This window comes from Homo sapiens, chromosome 15 (assembly GCF_000001405.40).
Source record: "Homo sapiens chromosome 15, GRCh38.p14 Primary Assembly".
In the NCBI taxonomy this organism is placed as follows: Eukaryota; Metazoa; Chordata; class Mammalia; order Primates; family Hominidae; genus Homo; species Homo sapiens.
The window spans coordinates 80,385,200-80,412,650 of NC_000015.10; the positions used below are offsets into that span (position 1 = coordinate 80,385,200).

Here is a 27,451-nt window from a genome sequence, read left to right on the forward strand (position 1 = left end):
CTATCTTAAACTATGCTGGCAAACTTAAAAATTCAGCTAACATTTGGCCTAGAAAAAGGTAGAAAGGTTATGTTATGCCCCATTAAAAAAAATGCCAGTATGGTATTTTTCTCATTTTTACATGATGGTCTCTTATTCTGCATCAGTGATAATGAAGACTTTTTAATTATCAATAATTTTTCATTAAATATTGCCAAGCTGTTGCTAATTTTCTTTGGTGAACACTAGCAAAATATTTGCCTGGATGACAGTACTTGAGAATTATCCAAGTCCAAGAACACAGAATAATGGGAAACTAGGCCCTTCCTTTCTAATTTCCAGGGCTGTTTCTAGAACAGCACTTTCTTCTACAGCAGGCTCTCCAAGGACACCAATTTGGGCAAAATCAGGCACATCATTGCAAACCTGAGTGTGGAGACTTGCTCACTTGGCATTTACTGGAAAAAAAAAAAAAAAGAACTTCCACGTGCCACGGGCATTTAAATGCTTGCTAGACCTTGCGGTTGCAGAGGGGAGTCAACAGGACTCCTGCCTCCAAGGATTCTCAGTGGGCTGAGGTCTGCAGGCATGCATTGAATCCCACAGCGCAGAAAAAACTCCAACAAGTTATGAGCTTGTGTGATGCGGGAAGAAAGAACAGTTCTTGTAATGACACAAAGATAGAGGAGGCCACCTATCTGACAACTCAAATCTAATTTCATTATAAAAGTCACTTATTTCATAATGAAGTCAAAACTTCTGTTGCGTATGTATTTGTCTCAACAAACTCTTTGGTTGTAAGTAAAGGGCAACAATTCAGGGGACTTAAGGACTAAAATTCGGAATGGACTCAAGAATGCTTTGTGAAGCCTTGAGGCTTAAGTGACCGGACCTCTCAAGGGAGGTAGTCACAGTCAGAAAGCCCTCAGCTATCTGAGCAGTCCTCATACCTCACCTCTGTTTCTCTGTGTCTGTTTCATTCTTGTCTTTCTTCCACCTGTCCTACTCTGCCTTTCTAGGTGAAGCACAGAAAACAGTTGCCTCACAGCATCTAAGTATGTCTTCCCTAAATCCAATCAGCTAAGGGCTCTGTGTCTGGACCTTGTGGAACCAAGAGGCAGCTGCAGCCCACCCAGCTGGTGAGGGAAGTTCTTAGGGAAAGTGAGTCATCCCCCATTGTTAAAGCACTGGATTGGGACTGTTCATAAGGTAAATAACCCAAGTTGCACACATAGCTATGGAAATGGTAGGTCAGAGGGAGAAGGTTCGGCTTCAGATTGGAAAGAGAGGAATGTTTGTAGAAGAAATGAAAATCAATTGAGCATGGAAAGAAAGTTTTAACCAGCATAGTGAAGCAGCATCATTGTCTGGGGTAAATACCTGGGATTCGTTGTTTCACGGCCAAGGAAAACTAGGACACAGACACACAGAGGGTAAGGTTCAGAGTGGAAGTTTAATAGGCGAAAGAAAGAGCTCTCTTGCTACAGAGAGGGGTCCCAGAGAAAATGGTTGCCGCGTCCGCAATGAAATGCAGGTTTTATAGATGAGCTTGAGGGGGTAGTGTCCGATTTACATAAGGCATGAAAGACTGGTTGCACCAGGTGTGCTATTTGCATAGTGCGTGTAAAAGCTGGCCGCCCCACCATAATTTTTTACTATGCAGATGGGTTCGCTGCCCGGCTGGTGCCATGTTGCCTGGTTCTTTTCTGTACACGTGGTGACAAAGAAGGGGGAAGATGGAGCCTCCATGTTGAACATGCCTGGCCTTCAGGTAGCCCTTTCCTATTGGCACAGCTGCCGGCACATTCACATGTGCAAGCTTCCAGCTTGCTTATTTATGTCTGCAGCTCGTTTTTTCAGGCTGCTCTTTGTTAGAAAAGAAGTGATTTGGGGGCTGTTTTTATTAAAACGGAAAATCTGCCGAGGACTCTGTTGCCCTTACTATCTGCTTAAATAATTTCTTTCTACCTCCTGTTATCAGTAGGGATGAGGGGGCGGGGGTGGGGAGTTGGGGGGAAACCCAGACCCAAAGAGTGAAGAGAAGTCTAAGGAATAATCAGACAGTAACCGCTAAGACCAAAAGCAAGACAGAATTAGGTGCCAGGAATTAACTGAGGCAAGCAGTTCAGAACAAAACCTGGAGTGAGTTTGTCCTGAAGTTTCCCTGTGGGAAGTACATAAGGAAAGCTATGGTCCTTCCGAGATGGTGGCTGTGTGGAGCTACTTGGTCTCCATTTCCCAGGCGCATCTTCAATTAACCACTCACATCCTAACCCCATAATGGCATCTCATTCTTATTCTGGCTAGTTAACATCTATTGAGCAGTTAACCATGCACCAGGCACTGTGCTATCTATATTACTTGAAATGATTTCCCCAATAGTGCAGTGAAATAGGTGTCTTTATTTACATTTTACATATGAGGAAACTGAGGTTTACGTGAAGCAAATCGCTTAGGGGCACATAGCAAGTAAGCCACAGGTGCAGCTTTGTGCGACAGACACTAAGACCTGTTTCTGCAATTACTATAGTGTCTATCCTCCACGTATTCTATCTTTGATTTGTCAACTAGATTGTCACAAAACTAGCACCCGATACATCTAATTTTCTGCCTCCCTTAAGAAAATAACTTATAATTCCAGACCACCTTCACTGATTGGGGGAAGAAGCTGAGGGTGATGAATTCATGCAAATTCTGGGGAAAAGTCTAATATAAAATAAAAGACAGGCCAAGCCTCAAAAAACCTCCATCAGGTTTTGTTGTTGTTGTTGTTTGCCTACTTTATGTTTTTTGGGTTCTGAGCTCTTGAAATTGCAATGGCTGCCTGTTTTCATTTGCAAAACTTCTCACCGTAGCATTACAGCTTTGGTAAGTGCTTTTGAAAGCAAAAGAGCATATATATTTAGCAGAGAAGGTCAAAAAGAAGTCTCTAAATAGAAAAATATGTGTGCTTAAACTTTTGTCTCATTTAAATATGAAGATAAATTTAAGCACTCTTTGGTATCCACAATTCCAACCTCATAAATTAGAAGCAACCATAGTAAATGCATCCAGCAGGATTTAAGCTATCCTTTTATTTCCCCTAATTATAAAGCACGGGGCTGAAAACATTCGCGCTGATTTACTCAATTTCCTATTGTCAAGTTCTATGTCTACACTTGATGTGATTATGTTAATGCGCTAATTAAGTTTGGTGTCCTTTACATACGTTCTGCTTCCAGCAAAATAAGAAAATGCTAAGAGAAGTATGTTTTCCTTGAATGTGGTCTGGAATAAATAGGGCAAATGCCCTGTGAGAGCAGAAAATATTATCTTTTGGGTTGAGCTGCCTTAGATACAATTTAATTTGAATGCTTGAACATATTTATGAGGTGCAAGAAGCAAATAGAAAAGAGCATTCAAGCTGTGTAGTGTGCCTTGCTTTCACCATTAGAGCTGAAACGATGGTGAATGTTCTCATATGTGAGCCAGAGTGTTTTGGGGGACACTACAGGGAGCAAAAGTCAAGAATATGCTGCTTGTATATTTCACCCAAGGGCACCTTTAACTCAAATTTATATCTTGTTCTATTTTTTTTCTGACTCGATTTATGCAGACATTTTCATTATTTTGCAGGTTGATATTCCTTCTGATTTTCAACTCTAGAAAAAGGACTGGGGCCCAGGTCTTATCTGTGATAATGCATATTCTTAAAAGAGACAAAAAGAGTCAATTGTTTCCCTTTGCAAATTAAAATATGACACGATATTTTGTTAATACTTAAATTTTAAATTTCATGTTATTGAAAGAGCTCTTTCAGATTTATTTAGATGTAGATTTTTATCATGTGACACTCAAGCATATATTAGTTAAGCTTTTCCTAAAATTGGATCATAGTCAGAGTCTTTCTTCTGAATCACTTACAACTCAGAGTCAATGTACATGTTTTTCTTCACACTTTCATCCTCTGGACTAGATGTTGAAGCATTTCTCATATTTGTCCCAATGCTGCCTCCAGGACGTTCTGCAAGTCTCGATGCTGAACTTTCTTGATCTTATTAGAAGGGTCATCCAAAGGTTTTTAGTCTATGTTGTGCATGCAGAGCATAGCAATTATGCCAATATGACAATGACTGTGAAACACTACTGACTGTAAGCCACCTCCTGATTTCAGAGAGAACCCTAGAATCCATGAAATACCGTAAATCCATAGCAGCAATCCTCCTAGGGTTGTTGTGAGAAATATCCTGGAATAGTGCCTAACACTTAGTAAGCATTCAATAAGTGATAGCTGTCAGCAATACTACTCTAACTTGTTGTGATGGCTCTGTATATGTAAATTATTGAATAATTAGGGTAATAAATTATACCCATAAATTATACCCAGGCTTTAGTTAAACAGGTATTTCAGGAATGTGTGCCTGTTTGGTCTCAAACAATGGGAAAGGATCTCCTATTCAGTAAATGGTGCTGGGAAAACTGGCTAGCCATATGCAGAAAACTGATACCGGACCCCTTCATTACACCTTATACAAAAATTAACTCAAGATGGATTAAAGACTTAAATGTAAAACTCAAAACCCTAAAAACCCTAGAAGAAAACCTAGGCAACACCATTCAGGACATAGGCATGGGTAAAGGCTTCATGACAAAAATGCCAAAAGCAATTGCAACAAAAGCCAAAATTGACAAATGGGATCTAATGAACTAAAGAGTTTCTACACAGCAAAAGAAACTATCATCAGCTTCAACAGGCAACCTATAGAATGGGAGAAAAATTTTTCGATCTACCCATCTGACAAAGGTCTAATATCCAGAATTTACAAGGAGCTTAAACATATTTGCAATAAAAAAAACCAACAACCCCATCAAAAAGTGGGCAAAGGAGGCTGGGCACAGTGGCTCACACCTGTAATCCCAGCACTCTGGGAGGCCGAGGCGGGCGGATCAGCTGAGGTCAGGAATTTGAGACCAGCCTGGCCAACACTGTGAAACCTCGTCTCTACTAAAATACAAAAAAATTAGCCAGGGGTGGTGGCGTATGGCAGCAGTCCCAGCTACTCGGGAGGCTGAGGCAGGGGAATTGCTTGAACCTGGGAGGCAGAGGTTGCAGTAAGCTGAGATTGCGCCACTGCACTCCAGCCTGGTGACACAGCGAGACTCCGTATGAAAACAAAATAAAACAACCAACCAAACAAAAAACTAAGAAATTAGCCGGGCATGGTGGCAGGCACCTGTAATCCCAGCCACTTGGGAGGCTGAGACAGGAGAATCGCTTGAACCCAGGAGACAGAGGTTGCAGTGAGCCAAGATTGCACCACTGCACTCCAGCCTGGGTGACAGAGTGAGACTCCATCTTAAAAAAAATAATAAAATAAATAAACAAATAAATTAATTAATAAAGTGGGTAAAGGATATGAACAGACACTTCTCAAAAGAAGATATTTATGTGGCCAATAAACACATGGAAAAAAGCTCAACATCACTGATCATCAAAGAAATGCAAATCAAAACCACAATGAGATCTCACGCCAGTCAGAATGGCGATTATTAAAAAGTCAGGAAACAATAGATGCTGGTGAGGCTATGGAGAAATAGGATTGCTTTTATGCTGTTGGTAGGAATGTAAATTAGTTCAACCTTTGTGGAAGACAGTATGGTGATCCCTCAAGGATCTAGAACCAGAAATACTATTTGACCCAGCAATCCCATTAATGGGTATATACCCAAAGGAATACAAATCATTCTACTATAAAGACACATGCACACGTATGTTTATTGCAGCACTATTTACAACAGCAAAGACATGGAACCAACCTAAATGCTCATCAGTGATAGACTGGATAAAGAAAATGTGGTACATATACACCATGGAATACTATGCAGCCATAAAAAGGAATGAGATCATGTCCTTTGCAGGGACATGGATGAAGCTGAAAGCCATCATCTTCAGCAAACTAACACAGGAACAGAAAATCACACGCACACATATGTTTATTGCAGCACTATTTACAACAGCAAAGACATGGAACCAACCTAAATGTCCATCAATGATAGACTGAATAAAGAAAATGTGGTACATATACACCATGGAATACTATGCAGCCATAAAAAGGAATGAGACCATGTCCTTTGCAGGGACATGGATGAAGCTGGAAGCCATCATCCTTAGCAAACTAACACAGGAACAGAAAACTAAACACTGCATGTTCTCACTCATAAGTGGCTGCTGAATATTGAGAACTCATGGACGCAGAGCGGGGGACAACACACACAAGGGCTTGTTGGGGGTTGGGGGATGAGGGGAGGGAACTGACGGGTCAATAGGTGCAGCAAACCACCATGGCACATGGTTACCTATGTAACAAACCTGTACGTTCTGCACATGTATCCCATTTTTTTTTCGAAGAAATAAAGAAAAAGCTAATCTGAAAAGTCTACATACTGTATGGTTCTAAACTATATAACATCCCACAAAAGGCAAAACTACCGGGATAGTAAAAAATTAGTGGTTTCCAGGGATTGGTAGGGAAGGAGGGATGAATAGATGGAGCAAAGAGAATTTTTAGGGTAGTGAAACTATTCTTTATGATACTATAAAAGTGGATACATATCATTATACATTTATCCAACCCCATGGAATGTACATCACAAATGTAAACCCTGATGTAAATTGTGGACTTTGGATGAAAACGATGTGTCAATGTAGGTTTATTGACTATAACAAATGTACTAGTCTGATGAGACATGTTGATAGTCAGGAGGCTGTGTGTGTGGAGGGGTAGGGGGTATGTGGGAACGCTGTACTTTTCACTAAATTTTGCTGTGAACCTAAAACTGCTCTAAAATAATATCTTTTAAAAGCAGAAACATTTCTAGATTAAAGAGACATAAAGTCATGACAATGAAATATAACATGTGATCCTGGGTTGGACCCTGAACAAGGATTCTTTTTTTCCATACAGCACAATTTTGGGATAATTGGGAAAAAATGAATAAGGTTTGTAGCTTAGATAATTATATCGATGATAATTTCTTGATTTGATAATTATAATATGGTTATATAAGAGGGAGCCCTTTTTCTCAGGAAATACACAGAAGTATTTAGCAGAAAGGACTCTGTCTCCAGTTAGTCTCAAATGGTTAGGAAACAACAATATTGGTATATATATATAGATATAAATATGTATAGAGAGAGAAGAAATGATAAAGCAAATGTGGCAAAATGCTAACAGTTGGGGTGAAAGGCTTATGATAGTTCTTTCTACTATTTTTGCAACTCTATTGAAAGCCTGAAATTATTTCAAAATAAAAAATATGAATAATTGGGAAAACAAACCACTTCAAAGAAAATAAAAAGTACATGAAGAGTATTAAACTCATTTTGAACCAATGATAGCATTCTAAATTCCATTCTGAACGCTTTTGTTATTGACATGCACACTCGTAGAATTATAGTCTTAGTGTTCGCTTCTTTCTTTCTGCTTTCTTTTAAACTCAACATTATTTCATGTAAACAATCTCTGCATTGACAGAGTGCAAAGACCTGCTACTTTCTAGGGACGTTTTAGGATCCCACCACTTGGCTGGGCCTTGGTAGCTTATGAATTATTTTTTTTTTGTTATTTATCAATTCCTAGCATGTTTATCTTATTCTACAAAAAATAGTGTCAGAGCTAGTATTGTTATTAACTGTAAAAAGCCTACTCACCTCACCTACCCCAACCCCTTGTTCTCGCATCCTGTAGCATCATAAGATGCAATCACCTACCAGTGAAAGCACAATGATGAGTTCTCAGAGTGGTTAGCCTGCTGGCTCCTGCATTGTTAGTCTATGCAGATACCTGATTTTGAATCTTGACCATGTTTGCGACTAGCTGTATGATCTTAGGCAAGTTATCGAGTCTCTCTAAGCCTCTGTTTCCGTTTATTTCATTTACTTAAGTCTTTCTCAAAAGTTTGAATGTAGATCTTGCTCTATATGTGAATCCTGAATACCTTACTCTATTTTTTGTTTCCCCTATTTACAGAGAACTTCCTCAATCTCATTCCAATTTACTTCACTAAGTTAGCAAGAGAAGTTACATATCAAGTTTCTGTGTTAAAATGGGATAACATTATCAGTGGAGAGAGCTCTAGTTTGCATAAATTAATACTTTAAGATTGACTGAGCAAGAATTTTGGAGTCAGATTTGTCTGTATTCACATATTTATCTATGTCACTTATCAGCTATGTGACCTTAGGCAAATTCCTCTTTAACTCTGTAAGTATCAGTCACCAGATCTATAGAATGAAAATAATATTAACTACATTAAAGAGTTACTTTAAAGGGTTAAATGAAATCTATATAAAACAATTTTGCAATATTTTAGACACTTTGTAGATATAGACATAGTTTGTATATATATATATATATATATATATATATATATATATATATGCACATATATATAGACGTTGACCTAAATACTCACATAAAAATAAATATGATATAGTTATTTACAGATTAAAATTGGAAATCAGTGAGACAAAGATGCTCTCTAGAAAGGTCAGGGGCTGCTCAGCATCACCCTGGGGCATGACTACTCCCCTTGGTCTGGAACCTTGGTTTTTCTTTTTAGCTCAAGCAGAGCTCATCAGGTCCTGAGGGACAGACTGAACTGATCAAATATCAGTTTATTTTTAATAGGGAGCAAAAATGGCAAGTACACTACAGTGAACCTGTGGGCTGATCTGCTCATTACCTTTTAGAGGAAAGTCTCCTTAGGAAGCCAGATTATCCTCTGAAGGTTGCTGGGGCAGGGTGGGGTGTGTGTATGTACACATGTGAAGTATAGGCCAGAAGTGGAGTGACGGGGGATTAGAAACATGGCCTTGTGGCCAATATCACTGAGTCATACATAACAGCCTAATGTGCCCCCATCAAGGAGAAGAACTGGCAGCATGATTAGGGAACTACTTGAGTCCTGGACACATCTTGTTTCTTGACGAGGCTCCTCATAGACCATTCCTTGCTATTGACAAAGAAGTTCTTGTGTATCATTGCTTGTTATTTTGTTTTTCTCCAAAATGTTACTTGTAACAAGTCTTTATTCTTCCCCCTCTCCTCCAATACACATTCATCTTTAGCAGGTCTTGTTAGATTTTCTAGCTCTTTTTTTTTTTTTTTTTGCATTTGACCCAAAAAAGATATTCTTTTAAGTCAACATCTGCCCTAAACAGTTGTATCTAATTTGTGCTTATTTCTAGTATCTTGCCTTCAATTTCCTGTTGCTATGGTCAGAATTTCAGAAACAGCTTCAGAAACCATCATGCCAACTCAGGAAACAAATTCCTTTTCTTTTTGAGCCCTGTGAGTAGGATGACTGGGGAAACACCTAGTTAGGAATATACTTTGGTCCAGAAAAAAAGAAAAAATGGGAGTTTCAAAGACACATTATATGAACAACCTCTGAGACATGTCACACTCAGCAAGGGTGCTAAGGCCCTGCCCTTGGCTCTCCATTTGGTCAAATTCTTATGCATTATGTAAACAACTTAGGTACCAGGAACAAAAGCAGAATGCTTTTCATAATGAATATTGGGAATGTCAGGGATTTTCCTATTCAAGTATCATGTAACATGAATATGATTTGATATACAAATATTCTGTTTAAGTTACAATTTTAGAGACTCAACTGATGAAATAGAGACCAGGTGAGGATTTGTGTTTTCCTCTAAGCATTTTCTTTTCCTCAATGTTGTAGTGCGTTGGAGTTTAACAACAGTAGTGTAGGAACGAGACGACCCCAGCCCTGTCTTTGCCATCATCCCACATTCTTACCAGTGATTTTCCTTTGTAGCCAGGGGTTTGACTTTTAATAATGTATAAAATTGAGAAACCCAGACCTAGAGAAATGTACCATTATCCATCTCTCATCATTGTCCTGTTGAGACCACGCGGGCAGGAGAGACCCCCATCTTGGCAGATCAGGAAGGAATGGGTGTCTCATTTTGAATCACCTAGGAGAATAGCTAATCTTAAGCCAGGAATTGAGGTGGGCTCTGGACTGGCTAAGGAAGGAACTTCTCCCTCGTTCAGGAGGCTAGAAGGAATTGGAACTCTGGATTTAAGGTGTAGTGAGGGCTGGAGTATGTGGGTGGTGAGGGGTGCACCCAGAGGCAGGCCAGCCAGATGGTACCAACACACCTCTTTGGTTTGTTTTTCAGTTAATAGAAAGTTGGTTTCCAGTGCAAGTATTAGATGAATTAGCAACACAGGGAAATGGTGAGTTTCTGGAGCAGTCAGCAGTTACTGCAGCCATAGCTAGAACTACTTCTGGGTTCTGACCCCACATGCAGGTGAGAAGGAGGAGCAGGAATGGCCCTTTGTAAGGGAGGAGAGCAGAGGCCTGCCCTGAGGCTAACTCTGGATGGCAGCCATGGTGTTGGCAGCAGTGCCAGGAGAACAGAAATCAAGCAGGGTCGCTGGAAGAGATGGGTGCTGATCAGGAGGGAAGTCTGGAGTAGAGGTGGCAGGGAAGTGGATGACAGTGTGACAAGAGGCAACCAAGGCAGGTTTGTGCAAGATTCAGCTTCGTTGAGGACCACCCCCGCAACCTGCCCAGAGAGGCCTGGGGGTTGGAAACATTGTGAAAACTGGAGTTCTCCCTAGCAGGGGTGGTGGGTATTTGTGTTATACTTTAAGACACAAGAATGGAGTAGTTGTGACTGCTTCTCCTTCTGCCCAACCCACAACTTCCCTCCAACCCACAACTCCTCCACTTTTGCTCAACATGCAAAAGCAGCACCTCTCTCTTCCACCCCAACCTTTAATTTCCTAATAGTCTAATACACAGGGAAAATGAGAAAGTTTCTTAGGTTTACCTCTAAATTGTGTACTAGATGGTTTTTAAGGTCACCGCTAAAATTCTATGACTCTGTGTTTGAAATAGTCATACATTCAAAGGACCGAAATCTAATTCCTCAATGAGTTAGACTGAATGTTCTTGAAATAAATTTTCTTAAACAAAAACATGCTTCATTTCCCTCTAAGAGTGTGACCTACAGGAAGGAAAGTCATTGTCACCTGTCCTTTGTTTGTGGTAATTTGCATGCTAATGATCGCGCAGTCCCAGACCAGTCGGTTGGATAATGAACTTGGCCGAGCCCTGTTGTATCAGAGTAACCAGTGTGAACGCCAACAGAATGCTGAGAATCACTTGGAAAGAGAGATTAATCATTAACCAACCCTATTAATTCACTTGGCATTTTTAAGCAAAGATTACTTCTCTGTATATAACATAAGAAAAGATCAGATGCACATATTCAGCATTACTTGCTAAGACGTCCAGATAATCATATTATGCTCAAAAAGATTGTTTTCAATTACGCAGGTGGCTTCCAAAATGAATTAATACAACAGGAAGGTGGTTAGCTATTAAAATCTGAATAATTTCATATATGTGGCACTTCTTCACTAATAAGACCAAGTAAAAAATGCCTGGACCAGTGAAATAATGGTGTTAAAATGATTTGAAAGTCAGAAGGTGCTGGGCGTAGATGAGAATTTGTTATAACTACAACTGGTAAATGGAGTTACGTAGATGAGAATTTGTTATAACTACAACTGGTAAATGGAGTTACTGAAATCTTTCCCATGGACTGGGAAAACATGAAGACTTATACTGAATAGGGCACTAACTGATGAGTAGAATATCTTCTTTTTCCTATGTCCCTGTTGTTCTCCAAGAGTAACTGATGTAGCTTTTAATATGAGTCAGAATCAAAGCAGGAAATTAAAAATAAAAATCCAGAGAAGAAGGGTTAACGATTGAGAGATGCTGGGGTTCCCTAACACTGCAAACGTGTTAGCTTTTGCAGGGAGACACAACATTTAGCTCTATGTATGCTGCCATGGAAGAGACAAAGGGATGGAAACATGCTGCTTATATGATCACTGATGTCTGATAAGATACTCAATCACTCACTCCATGAGTATTAGAATATTTCATATGGCTCCGGCTATGAGCTGGGTACCAGAAAAGAAAAAAAAACGAAGGTAGTAGCTCATACCTAATGAATTAAATAAGATGTTATTTTAAAAACCAATCCTTGTGTAGTGAGATATGTGCTAGAACAAGGGGAAAGCAGGAATTTGGAAGTACATGTCGGAAGAAGCCCTGAGCACACCACCAGGAAGACAGAAGGCAATCCATGCATGGTTCCTGATGAATGAGAGGTTCACTGGGGAGAGGGGCATTTTGGGCAAAGGGAATAGCATGGTGCACGTAGGAAATGACTGTGAGGCTGGATCTTACTGGAGCATAATTGGTGGGGAATGGGGAGCAACTATGGAGGTAAAAGTGGACAGGAAGGTAGAATCAGAGACATAGGGGTTCATTCCAGAGCCTCTGCCCTTGGACTGATTCATGAATGTTTCTTTTTGTGCTTGCTAAATTTGTTTCTGCATTTATCTTTGTTCATTTTTCCCTTGCTATAATTTTTTTTCCCACTTTGTGGCAGACATCTATGGAAATGTCCTCCTAGCCTGTCCATAGCCCCATCATCTTGAGCTCTGCTTCTCTGGAGCTCCAGCCTCTAGGTCCCATCAGGGGAGGCTTCCTTCCCACATATTCTTGTCTCCTCTCCCCACCTGGGACAGCATGGTCCCCAGCGCAAGGCTGGCCTAGGAACAGGCATGTGACTCGAATCAAGGCTTCCCCCAACCTTTCCCTAAGTCGCCATTCCTTCCAGAGAGGGTGTCCCCTTCTGATCATGGGAGCCAAAGATAGTTTCCATCCTACCTGTCAGGAGCGATGTATCTTCACCACGTGGAGGAAGGTGTGTGCAGCGCGAAAGAATGACACCTGAAGGGAAGGAGAGGGGAAAATACACACAGGGAGTCCTTGTGAAGTCCAGATGCCTGGTCCCAGTTTTCCTGAAGTCGAACTGTATCCCTGCCCTTCTGAGTTTTGGTTGTTAACCCTTCCTTTGGGATACCTGGGCATCCTTAGCACCTTACCAATAATATGGCTACATAAGCTAATGTGAGTTGGGGTGTTTTCAGGTACAAAACACTTATTGACCCTGAGATTTCTGAGCTAAATGCTAATTTCACATATTTCCATTCATTTCTATTTAATAAACAAGTATTTGCAGCTGTGAATTTTTCTCTGCAGCTAGCTTTTGATACAGACAGTCATCATTATACTATTTTCCAAATTGTCAGTTGCTTTTTCATTTTAATTAAATTTGTCCCATCTCATTTCAGGGATGGGAGGCTGAACTTACCTCACCCCTTTGATAATAATATCAACAAATATTCTATACCAACCACATACCAGATAATGTTCTAAGCTTTCTACAAACATTAACTCATTGAATTCTCACAAGAACCCTGTAAGATCGTACTATTAATATCGCTAGATCGTGGATGAGGAAATGGAGGCACAGGGCGTCCAACTCACACTGAGCAGGTAAGTAGAGTTGCTGAGATTCGAACAGGGGACTGTCCGGCTTCCAAGTCCATGCTCCGAGAGCAGTTTAGAATCTAAAGTGCAATGCTGTCACAGCCCTGTGCGGTAGAAAAGGCCAGCCCACATGCTGCTAGCCCCTGAGACAGCCAGAGAACACAGCAAAAGCACCAGCACAAGCATGTGCTGTTCTTCAACACACAAAGAAGCTCAGGCCTCAGGACACAGGGTTCTGTTTGCAAGAGAACAACTCCCAAGAGACAAGACACAGCCAGAACGCAAGATTATGCCTGTAACATCGTGGTCCCATCATTGTTTCCAAACCCACTCAGTCATTGCCCCATGCCTTCCTCCTGGGGCCGGGTGCTTTGGGTCCATGCTCGGGGAGGAGTAGGGAGATGGTAAGTGGGGCAGAGTTATCCAACAGGCCAAGAGTAAATCAACCTCAAATCAACATATTTTACATTTGTCCTTCATTGTTGTTGATCTCATCTGCCAATAACTAGAAAATCTTGGTTAAAGTCTCTACTGGTAAGGTGATTTTTGTCAGCTTCTCCTTAAATTCCTGGTAGTTTTTGTTGTGTACAGTTTAGTACTATGTTACTCGGTCTTGATTCCTAAGAGTTCATGGATGGTACATTCTCACCATGGATATGTTTCCATCTGTTATATTTTTCACTTTAGATTGTCTCTTTTTATCCCTGTAGCAGGGTGAGAAATTTACTCATACCATACTCATTTGAACTAAATGAATTTTAACCTTGAGAGCTCATAGTATTTCTTTGTTTTACACCATCTCTTAGAAAGCTCAGCATCACCCAGGTGAATGCACAGTCATTCTTAGGTCCTTTCCCTTTCACTTCCAGCTCCCCTTCAAGGTGGTGTCTAGGTGGTCAAGGAGGGAGTGGTGGGAGAAAAGGGAGCCTTAGAGCCTTGCCCGCCTCCATTCTGAGGGGCTGGGATGGTCATTTGGCTGGTGAAAATTAAGGTATCTTTAGGAAGACTCACACTGAGAGCTGATATCTGTGGCCTTGGTTTGGGGCCTTGTTCATTCAATCTTGCCTACTATAGCCTTTTAGTCCTCACCCAGATATCTGTTAATTTAGACCCTCAATGCCTTCATGTCTCCTCACCTGTGGGACACCTAGCATACTTCACAGAGCCACGAGGAGCCAGGAGTGCCATATAAAGCCCAGCTTTGCAGCTACATCCTTCGATCCCTGCAGAACCACCCTGTGTGTTATCTTCCCCAAGACTCCCACATGGGTGGTGGCCAGAAACCCCTCTGCTTTTGGCTATTCCATCAGCTGCCTTGATATACCTTCCACGGAAACTAGAGCACCTGGGTCTGACTGCCTGTTTCCCCTCCCACCCTCCTTCCTTCCTTCTCTCCACTCTCCATGAAGGTAAAGCACGACAAGCTTCCCCTTCCTATCTCTGTGGGACAGAGACTTGCCATACTTTTCTTCTTCCCTCTGCAATACTATCACAATACATTTTAAAGTCTCTAAAGTGTATACAGCACACACATTACTTCCTTCAATGTCATCTTCACCAAAACTCAGCACAGTAGGTAACATCATCCCCATTTTCCAGGTGAGGAAAGTGAGACTTAGAGAAGTTTCATGAAGTGACAGAGCAAAAACCTACACCACACTTTCGCTTCAAAGGCTGGTGCTTATGCCTTTTTGTATAAAACTAACATCTCATCCACATTTGATCTGTTATAAGTCCATGATTCTTGGTGTAAAGGAGAGACTTGATAGAGAAGAAGGCAGGGGTGGGGGCTGGGGGTAGTGCCTGGACAGACAATCCGTGGGCAGTTGTCACCTGTGTAGAAATAAAGATAAGGAGGTAGCAGTGGGGATAACACAGACCCATGAGCCTTTATCTCCAGCAAAGAGAGAGAGAGAAGTTAGAAAGAATGGAGGAGGAAGGAAGGGTTGAGAGGAGACATATAAATGGAGAGAAAGCCTGTGGTTATATCCATGGCAGCCCTACCATGCCTCTCCTTCTGCAGAAGCCCATGCGTTCATTCCTGGTTTCTTCATATCTTAAAGTGAAGTTAAAAGAACATAAAATTAGCCAGGCATGGTGGCTCACGCCTGTAATCCCAGCATTTTGGGAGGCCGAGGTGGGCGGATCACGAGGTCAGAAGATCAAGACCATCCTGGCCAACATGGTGAAATCCCATCTCTACTAAAAATACAAAAATTAGCTGGGAGTGTTTGGTGGGGGGTGCACCTGTAATCCCAGCTACTTGGGAGGCTGAGGCAGGAGAATTGGTTGAACCAGGGAGTTGGAGGTTGCAGTGAGCTGAGATCACTCCATTGCACTCTAGCCTGGTGACAAAGCGAGACTCCATCTAAAAAAAAAAAAACAAAACAAAAAACAAAAACAAATAAACAAAAAACCGGGTGCAGTGGCTCACGCCTGTAATCCCAGCACTTTGGGAGGCCAAGGCAGATGGATCACCTGAGGTCAGGAGTTTGAGACCAGCCTGACCAACATGGAGAAACCCCGTCTCTACTAAAAATACAAAATTAGCTGGATATGGTGGTGCATGTCTGTAATCCAGCTACTCAGGAGGCTGAGGAAGGAGAATTGCTTGAACCTGGGAGGCAGAGGTTGTGGGGAGCCAGGATTGCACCATTGCACTCCAGCCTGGGCAACAAGAGTGAAACTCCGTCTCAAAAAAAAAAAAAAGATAAAATTGCCTTGGATCATTATATATTATACAATGGAAATCCTTTGTCTCGAGTATTAGGACTTAAAGGGATATGAAGCAGAACTCAGGTGGCTGCTTTCTCCCATCAAGTTAAAAAAAAAAAAAAAGAAGAAAGAAAGAAAGGCTGTGGACCCTGGTACACATTAGCACAGCAGCTGGTCAACTCTGGTCATTTCTAGGAGCGCTGTGCTCAGAATCGTGTGCTATGGGCCCGGTGGATCTGCATTAATCTTTTCAAAAATGCAAATCTCAGCTTCAAATTCAACAGCCTCCTCTGGAATTTCAAAGAGTTCTGGGTTGTTTAAAGGTTGAGTGGAATTCCTGAGCCTGTGTTAACTGGTCACAGTCTACTGACTCTCATAATTAGCGCAAGACCACTGTGTTGTGTAAATGCCACTCAGTATTCAACAATGACTAACCACTCCATTTCAGATTGTTTACTTAAGTGGGGGGCTTTCATCCACAATCAGTGTTTCTGAGCATTTAACCTATTTAATACTGAGAGACGAGAGAGAAGGCGAGTTGCCCATTTCTCTATTTCTTCCCCTACACCCTAACCGCTCCCCAACTCCAGCCACCAAATCCCAGTATTGTGCGTAGCCCAGTTCTAAGTCTTGTCTGGCTATTAAGCTGCATGACGTTGGCTACCCTGAGCCTCAGTTTCCTTATCTGCAAACTCCAGGGGCAGAATTGGATGATGTCGAAGGTCCTTTCTACCTCTGAAATACACTGACTGGGGGAGAAGATGAAATGTCTCCTTTGTGAAAATCTAAACGTATTTATTACGTACCAAAAACCACAGCACGGCCGACTCCAGACTTGGGAAGTGTCTAGCAGTTGTCCACGTGTCGCCTGTCTTTTATTGCAATGGACCAGTGCAAGAAGTAGGAAGCTTGAGCAAGATCCAGTTTTAAAGATATCAGCCGAGTAACATTTAGAAAAATGGGCAGAACACAACAGCAGAGTAAGAAAGTAAAACTTGTCAACAAATTTGTATGGTTAAATGTGTGTGTGCGTAAGAGTCATGTTCACTCATATTTTATTTTTTAGGGATGATATTAGAACTGTATTTGGAGACAAAATGAGCCATGGGTCCTGGCTGAAATGCTAAACTGATACATAAACACCAAGGAGAGGAACTTGCTTCCTTCTAAGGGGTGTGGAAAGTTGGAGAATAAAAGAGCCTCGTGGGATAGGGGGCAGTGATGCCAAGTGCTATTTATGGGCTATTTATGGGCCACCAGAGATTGAACTGCCTGTGGGGAGAAGGATCCAGAAGGGACTCTGGGTAGCAGAAATATCTGAGATGGAGTTTTACCTTTTTTGATGTGGAGTGAGTGAAGAGAGCCTCCTCTTTTACTTTCCTTAAGAAATCTTCAGTCCAGTATACGTTATACATTAATTAAGTTGGTATTTTGAGTGTGTTGCTTTTCGGGGTATGTAGAAGAGAGGCTGAATTCTCATTTGGCTTGATGTTGGAATCAGGAACAGTCAACTTTGATACGGGGCACAAGAGCGGGCCATAGCTGATACCCTGGTTTCTCTGTCTGGGCCTGGCCTATCTTGTGGCTGGGTGCACACCTGCTTTATTTTTTACTTGAAATGTCTTCTTTTTCCACCTGTCCTACTCATGTCTTCAAAGCCTAATTTTCATTTTCCCTGATCACTCCACCTCCTCTCTGCCCTCATTCATTCATTAGTGACTACAGGCTGGAGATGCCAATTTCAGGGCTTCTGCCCTAAGCCCCCAAGGGAGCTGTGTGCTTCTTGAGTGCAGATACTTTGTTTCACTCTTCCCCACTCTACCCCCCAAACCAGAAGAACAGAGCTCCTGTTTCTTCCTTTCCATGGTAGGCCCAACACCTGGCTTTGTGCCTGGCACACAGCAGACATTCAACATTTGTAGAACTGATAGACTATTAGATTAGTAGTGACAAATACTCCCCGAAGAAAATGCTTATTTGAACATACATCCCAAATTTTCTGCCCTCCAGAAAATGCTTCCTTGGAAGGATTTAAGACAGTTTGATGTCTCTGCAAACATTATCTGCGTTTAGGGACCAACTTGCCCTTCTCAGCGTTCACCTGGGATGTCTTTATTCTTCCATTTAACCTTTACAGGGGACCCCGATGGTGACGTGTCCTTCCTAGGGGCCATTACCTCTCTCAGGGATCCTAGTGTCTGGTAGAAAACAACAGCTCCAAGTTCTCTGCATCCAAACTTCGCCAGGATACGCAGATAAACCTATTTAAAAAAAAAAATCTTTTTAAATTCTCAACTTGGTGGTGTAAATAAGGCCCTTGCAGCGCCCTCAAGTAATAATCAACGGCAGTCATTATGGAAGGAGGGTAGAGATGAGCGCCTTACTCAAAGCCAAGACATTCACAATTTCTCGGGCCGGCTGCCTGTGCCTGGGCGTGTGCACTGTGCACTCCGAAGCTGTGTGCGGCGGTGGCCTTGGAGGTGCGCGTGGCCTTAGGAATTCCCGCGGTCGGGCACCCTCCGCTTAACACCGGGCCGTGTCCCCGGCCTGGGAGCCGAGCAGCGCGGCTCTGGCATGCTAAGTGGGCAGCACTGGGGCGCCTTTGTTCCTCGCGGCCGTCTCCCAGGACCGGCTTCCCTCTGAATCTAAATGGGCTTCTCCCTCACCCGCTCCGCCCTGGCCTCCTGGCCTGGGCACGGCGCCCCTGGGTAAAGCGCGCCCGGACACCTGGGGCGTGGGCGTGCGGGGGCAGCCCGGGCTAGGCGAGCGCGGGAGAGGCGCCTGCGGTCCCAGCCCGGCCAGGCCCGAGCACCTGCGCGAGCCCGAGGGAGCGCCCGGCCCTCTGCCCCCGCCAGTCGCCGGCGCCCAACTTGGGGGTCCCGCCGTCCGCAGCCCCAAGTCTCGCGGTGCTACCGCTCTGACCGGGGAGCCGCGGGCCGGGCGCCCCCCGCCGCGCGACAAAGGCTGAACCGGGAGGAGGAGGCCGAGGAGGGGGAGGAGGAGGAGAGAAAGGCGGGGACGGCGAGCGGCCGCGGCGGCGGGGAGAGCGGAGGGAGCGCCGCCCGCCCGCGCCGTCCTTTGTGTGGCGGCGGCGGCGCCTGGGCCTGACCGGGTCCCCGGGGCTGAGCGCCGGGCTCCGCGCCGCCCCTCCCGCGCCCCTGCCAAGCGGGCGCCTATCCTCTCCGAGCAAGATGGCAACCCCGGCGGCGGTCAACCCTCCGGGTGAGTAGCGGCCTGGGCCCCGCCGCCCGCCGCAGCCCGCAGGCCTTGCCCGGGGCCGGAGCGGACCAGGCGCGCCGGGCGCCCCCGGGGGCGCGGAGCCGCAGCTCGGCGCGGTGGGTGGTGGAGCGGCTGTCACTACGCGGCAGCCGCAGCATCAGCACCAGAGCGGCATCTGCATCCCAATCGCTGCCCATCCGGTCCCGGGCAGGCGCCGGTCCGGACCCGCGGGCGGCCGGACGCTGGCCTCGCATCCTCGGGAACCCGAAGGGCAGGCCCGGGAGCCCCCGAAGTTCTGAAAATAACCGCCTTTGCCTTCCCCATCCCACGCATTTTTCTCTTCCGGTCCCGGCTTTTGTGGCATCACGGCGTCAGCCAGTCCTGGCTGGTGGAGGGCTCCGCGCTGACGGAGGGAAAAGTTTGGAGCTGGGATTCAACAGGGTACAACTCCCGGGACTCTCCCCTGCCCGCCCCGCCCACTAAGCGCTGGTCCTTTGCGCCCTTTGCGACTGGCTGCTGTGTGTCCTAACCCTCCGGGGGCACAAAACACCCAGCCTGTGGTCACCAGCGTGGAGCAGCCCTGGTCCTGCCCAGGTGACATCCTCTGCTTTCTGGTCTGACCTGTCCCCAGGGTGCAGTCTGTGACAACTGAGCTCATTAGGAAATATTTCAAAAATGGAAGAGTTCTTGATCAAGTGGCAACATTGACTTGTTTTGGTATTGTAGTAGGGAAGTTCCGTTTTCACTGGGAAAGTTCCCTACCTGATGAGCAGGGTGTGGGAGAAGAGAAACGTGAACATCTAAGCTAGTACAAACTTTTGGGTGTTGTGCAGAGGCTGCTGTGGGCACGGCAGGTTGCTGGGTCCCTGTGGAAGATGCAGGGAGAGTCACAGAGGGCGGCCCCCAGGAAATTCCCAGCAGAGGGAGGTCATGTGTTGGAGATAGGGAGGGTCGGGGGAGGAACAGCAATGCCTAGCAAAGAAAAGTGTCTCTCATCATAGAATTAGGAATGAAAGATCCCTTTCATCTAAGGCGGCCAGGGAAGGCTTCTGGAGATTGGACATTTCGGCTGAACCTTGAAAACGGGAATGTTTGAATATACAGAGCCAGTAGCAGAGGGGCATTGCAGGCGTAAGTAACAGTGGACTTGCTCTAAGCAAGTGCAGAGGTCAGTGAGTAGTTGGTGCACTGGGGATATAAGAGGCAGCAGTGGGATTTAACACTGAGTTGTTTGGATGTGACCAGGCTTTAAAGGACAGACTGAGGAGTATGGACTTTCTCTCTCCACATTAAGGGAGAGTCCTCTGCACACTTCCTAAGAACCAGAAAAATAAAATAAAATAGAAAAGAGAGAGAGAGACAGAGAGAGAGAGAGAGAGACCTCAATGGTATTGAACAAGGAAATCGCATGATCACTTTTTCTGGAAGACTGATTTGTCAGCTATGTCTAGGAAACATTCTAAGGAGGGAACAAGACTTGAGACAGGGAGGCCAGCATGAAATGAGGCAGGTGCTGGGGAGGCCAGAATTGGTGGCCATGGCTGGACCAGAGAGGAAGGAATGCACCACTGGGCGGGTAGAAGAGTTCCAGATTTGGCACTGATTAGATTTGGAGTAAGAGTAAAGGAGGAGGCCAAGGAGAGACAAAGGGGAGGTGTCCATGGAGACACCAAGGTGAAGAGCCTGTGTAATTCCAAGGAAGGCAGTTCCATCAGCAGAAATAGGGACTCTTGGAAGAACAGACAAGGAGGCCTCTGTCCAGAACACTGAGGAGGAACGTGGCTGGTCTGAAAACAAATCTGTGCCAGTTTGCCTGTGACTGAAGCTGCAATTTCAACCCATTCAACTACTTCAAAATCAATGGAAAATTGATAGATGTAAATGTTATGAAATTAGAAAAAGCAAAAGATGTTAAATGAAAACATTTTAGTCCAATATACACTGGGAACAGGAATAAAATCCCTGGTGATTTACATAATTTCTATGCCAGGACATCATTGTTTAAAACTTTTTTGTCCATTACATTGCTCCATGAGCTACATGGACTAAAGATCTAAAGATGGAGTAACTGCCCCTGGCCCCGTGGTGTGAAGCACAGGAAAGCCTGTGCCTGTGCCTTGGACTGCGGGAGACTTGAATGGTACAAGCATAGGGTATTGTTGGCGTTGCTAGTCAACACCTGGCCAGCTTGACAGATGCTTTTCTCTGTTGACAGCTATACCAGAGATCTTCAGCATGGTGATAATTTCTCAAGGGAAAATTCCTTGAGGTGATCACCTTTCCTTTTACCATCATTTCTTTTACTGGTCCCCTGAGGATGATCCGTGGGGATGTGTTATTATTGCCCCATGTGAATCTCCATCTTTTTCTTTGGGAGAAAGGGTTTAATTTTAAGGGACATGGCTCAGGGTTTGAGCCAAAGAGAGAGAGTTCAGATTCTATGGGCAATTTACAACAAAAAGAGCCATGGTACCCAAGCTTGTCACCCAGAGCCTACCTCACATGGGCTTGTGAGACTTCTTTGAATTCCTTTTTCTTCCTGCCTCCTTTCCCCAGATATGGTTGCTTTGCAAAGAATAAGAGCTTGGTAAACAGAACCAAATGGATGGGGAAGCACCAGGATTTATTTCTGCTGCTAGTTCGTGTCCAGGGTACAAAGGCCACAGCCAGTCACCTCCCCACGCCCCCACTTGTTCCTTTTTTCCCAGCTGACCACTTCACAACAGCAGAACCATTTACAATGACACTCTTCTGTGATGTGTAGTGGGGATTCTCTAGGGTCTTGTTGGTGACCGGTGATGTTGGGGTCTTCACGCTCATGTTACTCATGTTACTCTGTGGATATAATACAGGTCCAAATTTGGAATCTGCTCCTTCAAGGTCCCCTGTTGGGGTTTTAGGTTAGGATTCTACCAGCTACTCTGGGAGAGGAGAAGAAAGGATTGGGCTCCCAGATATTCTCCTCATGACTTCTGCTATGACAGTCCTGGTTATATTCCTCATATCCTGTGGCCCCTGGTGCCTCCTCCTTCTGGGTCATTTACAGTCCTTACGTTGGTCACTGAAACTGTTGTATTGGCTGATTTTCTCTTTTCTCTCTGGCCAGGAATGACATATATCCTTTAGACTAGAGAGTGAAGTCATAGAATCTTCCGTTTTGTGTGTCTGTGTGTGTGTGTGTGTGTGTTGTTTTGCTGCCTTTTTGAATGACATTTAAGTGTTTCTGATGTATAGGAAATAGTGAAGATTTGAATTAGTTATATACATAAAAGGGTATTTGCAGCTGAAATGGCACAATTAAGAAGGAGATTGTTTCCCCAATGTCATTGTTCCATCTTAATCTTTTGTAATTTAAGCATGAGGGAATCAGCTACAAATTCAGACCAGTAATCATTAGGAATTAAGCATTATGTGGACATTCTCTGAGATGAGTATTTGCAGAGTAATTAATAAGGCTCATATGTTTTAAAGGATTTCAAAATTATGTTTTAAGAGATTTGGAATTCCACTTTTTTTTCTGAAATCAATTATTGGATTTTTTCCCCACTTCCAGGTTTCTGGTCTTTGGCATTTCAATTTGGAATTAATTGTATAGTGCAGGAAGATTCTCTGGACAAATTGCCTTAGATGGAGGGACATTTGAATCAGCTTGTTGAACTGATTGGATATCTTTGATATGCCAAGCTGTCTGCAGGGAATAGAGCAATGTGGAGATGAGGGAGAATATTTCTTGACCTCAGGGGGTTCTAAGTCTACTAGGGGAGGCATAGGTAGACTAACTTAATAACACCAGGTGGAATGAAATGAACGTTGACTAGGCATGTTCATATCATCATGGGGAGCCAGAGGAAGTCTTATGGGAGGTAACTTCTGAACGTGGGCCTTTTGAAGACAGAGATTTTGACTTATAGAGAATTTAGGAATGGTCATTTTGCGCTGATGGCTGGCGTGTGAGGCAGACAAGATTTGTGAAAATATGGAATACTGTCAAGTGGTTGCTTCCTCAGTGCTCTTGGGGACTCAGCAGGACACCCAAGAATGTGGGTAGGTTTTGAGCCTTTGAGACGTGTGCGCTATGCTTGCAAGCTGTCCTGCCTTGAGTAGGGCTGGAACAGCCAAACCAGCTGGACATACAGTTGAGCCCAATTTCTCTATATCCTGTCCTTCATTGAATCTACGAGCCCATCAGTTGCAGGACACATCATTCTTTTATGGACTTATAAGAAAAAAATGAGCTGATGGCATTTTGGCTTTCATCAAAAGAAAGAAAAAAAGGAAGAAGTGATACCTGAAAAAAGAGATTTATTTATTCCTTCAGTATATATTTATTTTAATTAATTAATGAATTTTAAAAAGTTAATTTTTAAAGGCTCCTTTTTTAGGGCAGTTTTAGGTTCACAGCAAAATTGAAAGGAAGGCACAGAGATTCCTCATATATCCCCTGCCCCCACACATGCACAACCTCCCCCATGATCAACATTCCCCAGCAGAGTAGTACATGTGTTACAATTGATGAACCTACAATGACACATCATTATCACCCAAAGTCCATAGTTCACATTAGGATTCACTCTTGATGGTTGGTAGACGTTCTATGGGTTGGACAAATGTATATGACTTATATCTACCGTTATAATATCATGCAGAGTATTTTCACTGCCCTAAAAATTCTCCATGCTCCACCTATTCATTCCTCCCACTTCCGAATTCTTGGCATCCACTGATGTTTTTACTGTCTCCATAGTTTTGCCTTTTCCAGAAAGTCATGTAATTGGATTCATGCATTACGTAGCCTTTTCAAACTGGCATTTTTCACTTAATAATATGCATTTACATTTTCTCTGTATCTTTCAGTGGCTTGATAGCTCATTTGTTTTGGTGCCGAAGAATATTCCATTGTCTGGATGTACCACAGTTTATTTATTCATTCACCTACTGAAGGACATCTGGGTTGCTTCTAAGTTTTGGCAATTATGACGAATGAAGCTGCTAGGGGCTAATACTTACTGAGTAACTACTATGTGCCGGGGACTGATCTTGGTTCTGGGATCACTGTGGTGAGCAAATTAGGTATAACTCCTACCATCATGCTGCTTGCTAGCAAGACAAATAGTCACAAAAGAGTAACACAATTGGGTTAGTTATGAAAAGTGTAAATGTTATGAAGAAATGATCCCCTGAGATAAAATAACCAAGGGACCTAAATTAGAGGATTAGCAAAGGCCATTTGAAGTCAGTGAAAGCCTCTCTGAGGAGTTGACCCTTGAGTCAAGCTCCAAGGAATGATGAGAAATGTGAGGAAGAGCATTCCAGGCACAAGGAAGAGCCCCTTCAAAGGCCCTGAGTTGGGAAGAGCTGGAGAACAGGGAGCAAGGGTGAAAGCGGTGTGAGAAGCTGGAGCTGCGGTAGAGGCCAGCTCACGGGGGACCACTTTTGGGTTAGGGACTGAGACTTCATTTTTAAAAAGCGCTGGAAATCTACTGAAGGGGGTTTGAGCAAGGGGCATGATCTGACCTGCACTTTTAAATGCTGCTTCTGGCTGCTGTGTGGAGAGCCAATTGGACTGAAGCGGGAGGAAAAGTAAGACTCCAGTTAGATGGTGCTAACTTAGGTCAGGGGCTGTCAGTAGAGAATGAGAGAGAGGGAGGTGGATTTGAGTTATACTGGGGGCAGGGATGCCATGCTGAACAACTCCAGGGGCACCAGTTACTTCCCTGTCCATCCCTTGGGCACGACATGTCCTGCTTGGGGCAGAATCATCATGACTTCATTGTAAGGAGTTAGGGGAAGAGTCAAGGACGATTCCCAGCTTTCTGTCCAACACCTGGGTGGTTGGAGGTGACAGGAAGTTAGTGAGAGGCAGGGGGCCTGTGGGGTGTGCTCCAGGCTTCAGTATTGGACAGCTGAGTTGAGCTGCTTGTGCGACAAGCAAGTGGAACTGTCATGGAGGCAGTGGGACACATGCTCCCAGAGATCTGGGCTGGAGAAGGAAACAAAGAGGGATGTTGGCCAGCCATTTACCAGGTTCTCTAAATGCTTTCCTTGGGGTAAGTTAGTTCACAGAACATAGAGCTTTTGGTCCAAGTACCATAGTTCCCAAACAATGCTTGCATTTACTGCTTTATTGTCTGTCTTTATTGAGATTCACTAAGACACAAGGTCATAGGGAGATTATTTCTGCATCTTTTCCAGATCCAGCAATCCATTCATTTTTATCTATCTATCTATCTATCTATCTATCTATCTATCTATCTATCTATCTATCTATCATCTATCTACCTACCTATCATCTGTCTACCATCTCTCTCTCTCTCTCTCTTTCTCTTTCCCTCCTTTTGTGGGGCAGGTCAGGCTGTTGGACTAGCTCACCACACGAAACTCTTTGTTCAATGAAGAAAAGTTATTTCTCAGTTTTAGCCAAGCTCCTTTCCAATTGAGGGCTCTTGTTTATGTTGTGTCCCTCTTCTTGGAATGATTAATTGCTCACTGTCCCTCCTTCCCTACCCTTACCCCCTCCTCACTCCTAACCATTTTCCTGTCCAATTCCTACTTTTCTTCTGGTCTCAGCTTGAATTCTTACTCCATTAGGGAAATCTATCCTGATCCCTTTATCCAGGTAAAATGTACCTATCATGCATTCTTCCAGGGCCCCATAAAGCTGTACTTTGCTTCTGGAGCACTTCGCCTCATGTAAATTGTGCAGTTATTTGATTGATACCTGACTGGAAGCCCTGTGAGGGCAGGGAATGTATCCAACAGTATGGCAGCCCTGGCACCTACCATATTGCTTCCCATACAATAGATACCCAGTAGGGTTTTGTTAATGAATAAATGGAGGGATGCCAGGGAACTGTCTTTTATTTTGTATGTGGCTGCCTTTCAATGACTCCCTTGAAGGAAAGAAAGCATATATCCTATATTTGTGGGTCTCTGTAACAAAATAGTCCAGAGCTGTCTAATTGAGATTCTGACTTTTATTTGTGGAAACTGATTTTGATCTGAAAATCCTACCAAGATAATCCCTATGCAAACTAGTTCCTCTAGACTTTCTAATAAGGAGCCTTGGACACACAAAGCTCATCATTCTTCCCAGAAGAAGATTAGGTCAGAATTGAACAGTCGAATGTATTTATATATTTTTATTTTATACTGCTGTCCACAAAGGTTACACCAGAGGCTTAGAGAGGCTCAGAGACTTACCTCGAGTCCTCAGCAGGTGGGTGGGTGAGGAGGTCCTACACCTACCTGATACCTTGGACACACAAAGCTCATCATTCTTCCCAGAAGAAGGGTAGGTGATAGCTTGGAGACTGGCTGGTGGTAGTGGTAGGTTCCGTGTTACAGTCCCACAGGGTCTTCTCAGAAGGGAAGTGGGATCCTCCCATTTACTGCCTTCTGTGTTGTGTGTGAAACTATTGACATGGCTTGCTTAATTACCAGCAGTTACTGATAAGACAGACTCCAGGCTGGCTTTGAGATTCAGCCACCCCAACAGCATTCAGGAAGGCAGCAACAAGGTCAAAAGATGCATTCATTGCCCTCTGATTGAATAGTGCAGGCTTTAGAGTTGGAAGCTGAGGCTCTTTGCAGATAAGCAGAGACTCTGTGGCTGCCAAGTCTATAACAATTTGACCATTTTTTTCAGGGAAATCTACAAAAATGCCAAAATGTTTACAAATAGGTACTTCCTGCTTTTGTACATTGTATGAAAACATGGGACATCTCTTACTGTTTTGGTTTCATTGTGAGAACATACAAAGCAGAGGTTGGAGCTCTTCTCCTAGCCCCTGCTGAGGAGTTGGTTGCTTTCTTCACCACAACCACTTTTCCCCCACAATAAAGATCTGTGTTGATTGTAAAAAATTTGGAAAATGCACAAAAACACTAAGATAATTCTGCCACCCATAACTAACATTTTTGCGTATATCCTTACAGACTTTTTTCTAAATATTGTGTGTGTGTGTATATATATATATATAACAAAATAGAATTATTTCGAGCATATTGCTTTGTCATCCCTTTTTTCCCTTCATTAATGGTATATCCTATCAAGGATACTGATTTGAGAAGCTGCATATATTCTGTTTATGGCTGTGTCATAATTCAT

At 43.6% G+C, this 27,451-nt stretch overlaps 1 protein-coding gene and 1 long non-coding RNA gene across 5 annotated transcripts in view, besides 2 other annotated features; one reads left to right on the forward strand and one right to left on the reverse strand.

Moving 5' to 3' along the window:
* Positions 1–18,997, reverse strand: part of ARNT2-DT (ARNT2 divergent transcript) — a 59,344-nt gene extending 40,347 nt beyond the window's left edge. For 2 of the 4 annotated variants that reach the window (NR_184068.1, NR_184070.1), the window contains exons 1-3: positions 18,792–18,997; positions 18,303–18,386; positions 12,745–12,807 (exon numbers count right to left, since the gene is read on the reverse strand). This is a non-coding gene — a long non-coding RNA (ARNT2 divergent transcript). Of the gene's footprint in view, positions 1–12,744; positions 12,808–18,302; positions 18,387–18,509 lie in introns of all 4 variants that reach the window. The other 2 variants (NR_184067.1, NR_184069.1) reach the window with 1 other exon arrangement.
* Positions 3,008–3,177: an enhancer, noted in NCBI's record as "experimental_41531 CRE fragment used in MPRA reporter constructs". NCBI's record gives its function as "activates a minimal promoter by MPRAs in K562 erythroleukemia cells, with activity observed for the non-introgressed 15:80680634 variant allele {active_cell/tissue: K562}" and the evidence as "EXISTENCE:reporter gene assay evidence [ECO:0000049][PMID:34662402]".
* Positions 18,614–19,114: an enhancer, noted in NCBI's record as "H3K4me1 hESC enhancer chr15:80696155-80696655 (GRCh37/hg19 assembly coordinates)". NCBI's record gives its function as "activates a minimal SCP1, AML or CMV promoter by ChIP-STARR-seq in naive H9 embryonic stem cells {active_cell/tissue: H9 hESC(naive)}" and the evidence as "EXISTENCE:reporter gene assay evidence [ECO:0000049][PMID:30033119]".
* ARNT2 (aryl hydrocarbon receptor nuclear translocator 2) overlaps positions 19,183–27,451 on the forward strand; it is a 193,552-nt gene continuing 185,283 nt past the window's right edge. The window contains exon 1 of the mRNA NM_014862.4: positions 19,183–19,347. Coding sequence (NP_055677.3) covers positions 19,317–19,347 — 31 coding nt within the window. The 5' untranslated portion in view covers positions 19,183–19,316. The remainder of the gene's footprint in view (positions 19,348–27,451) is intronic.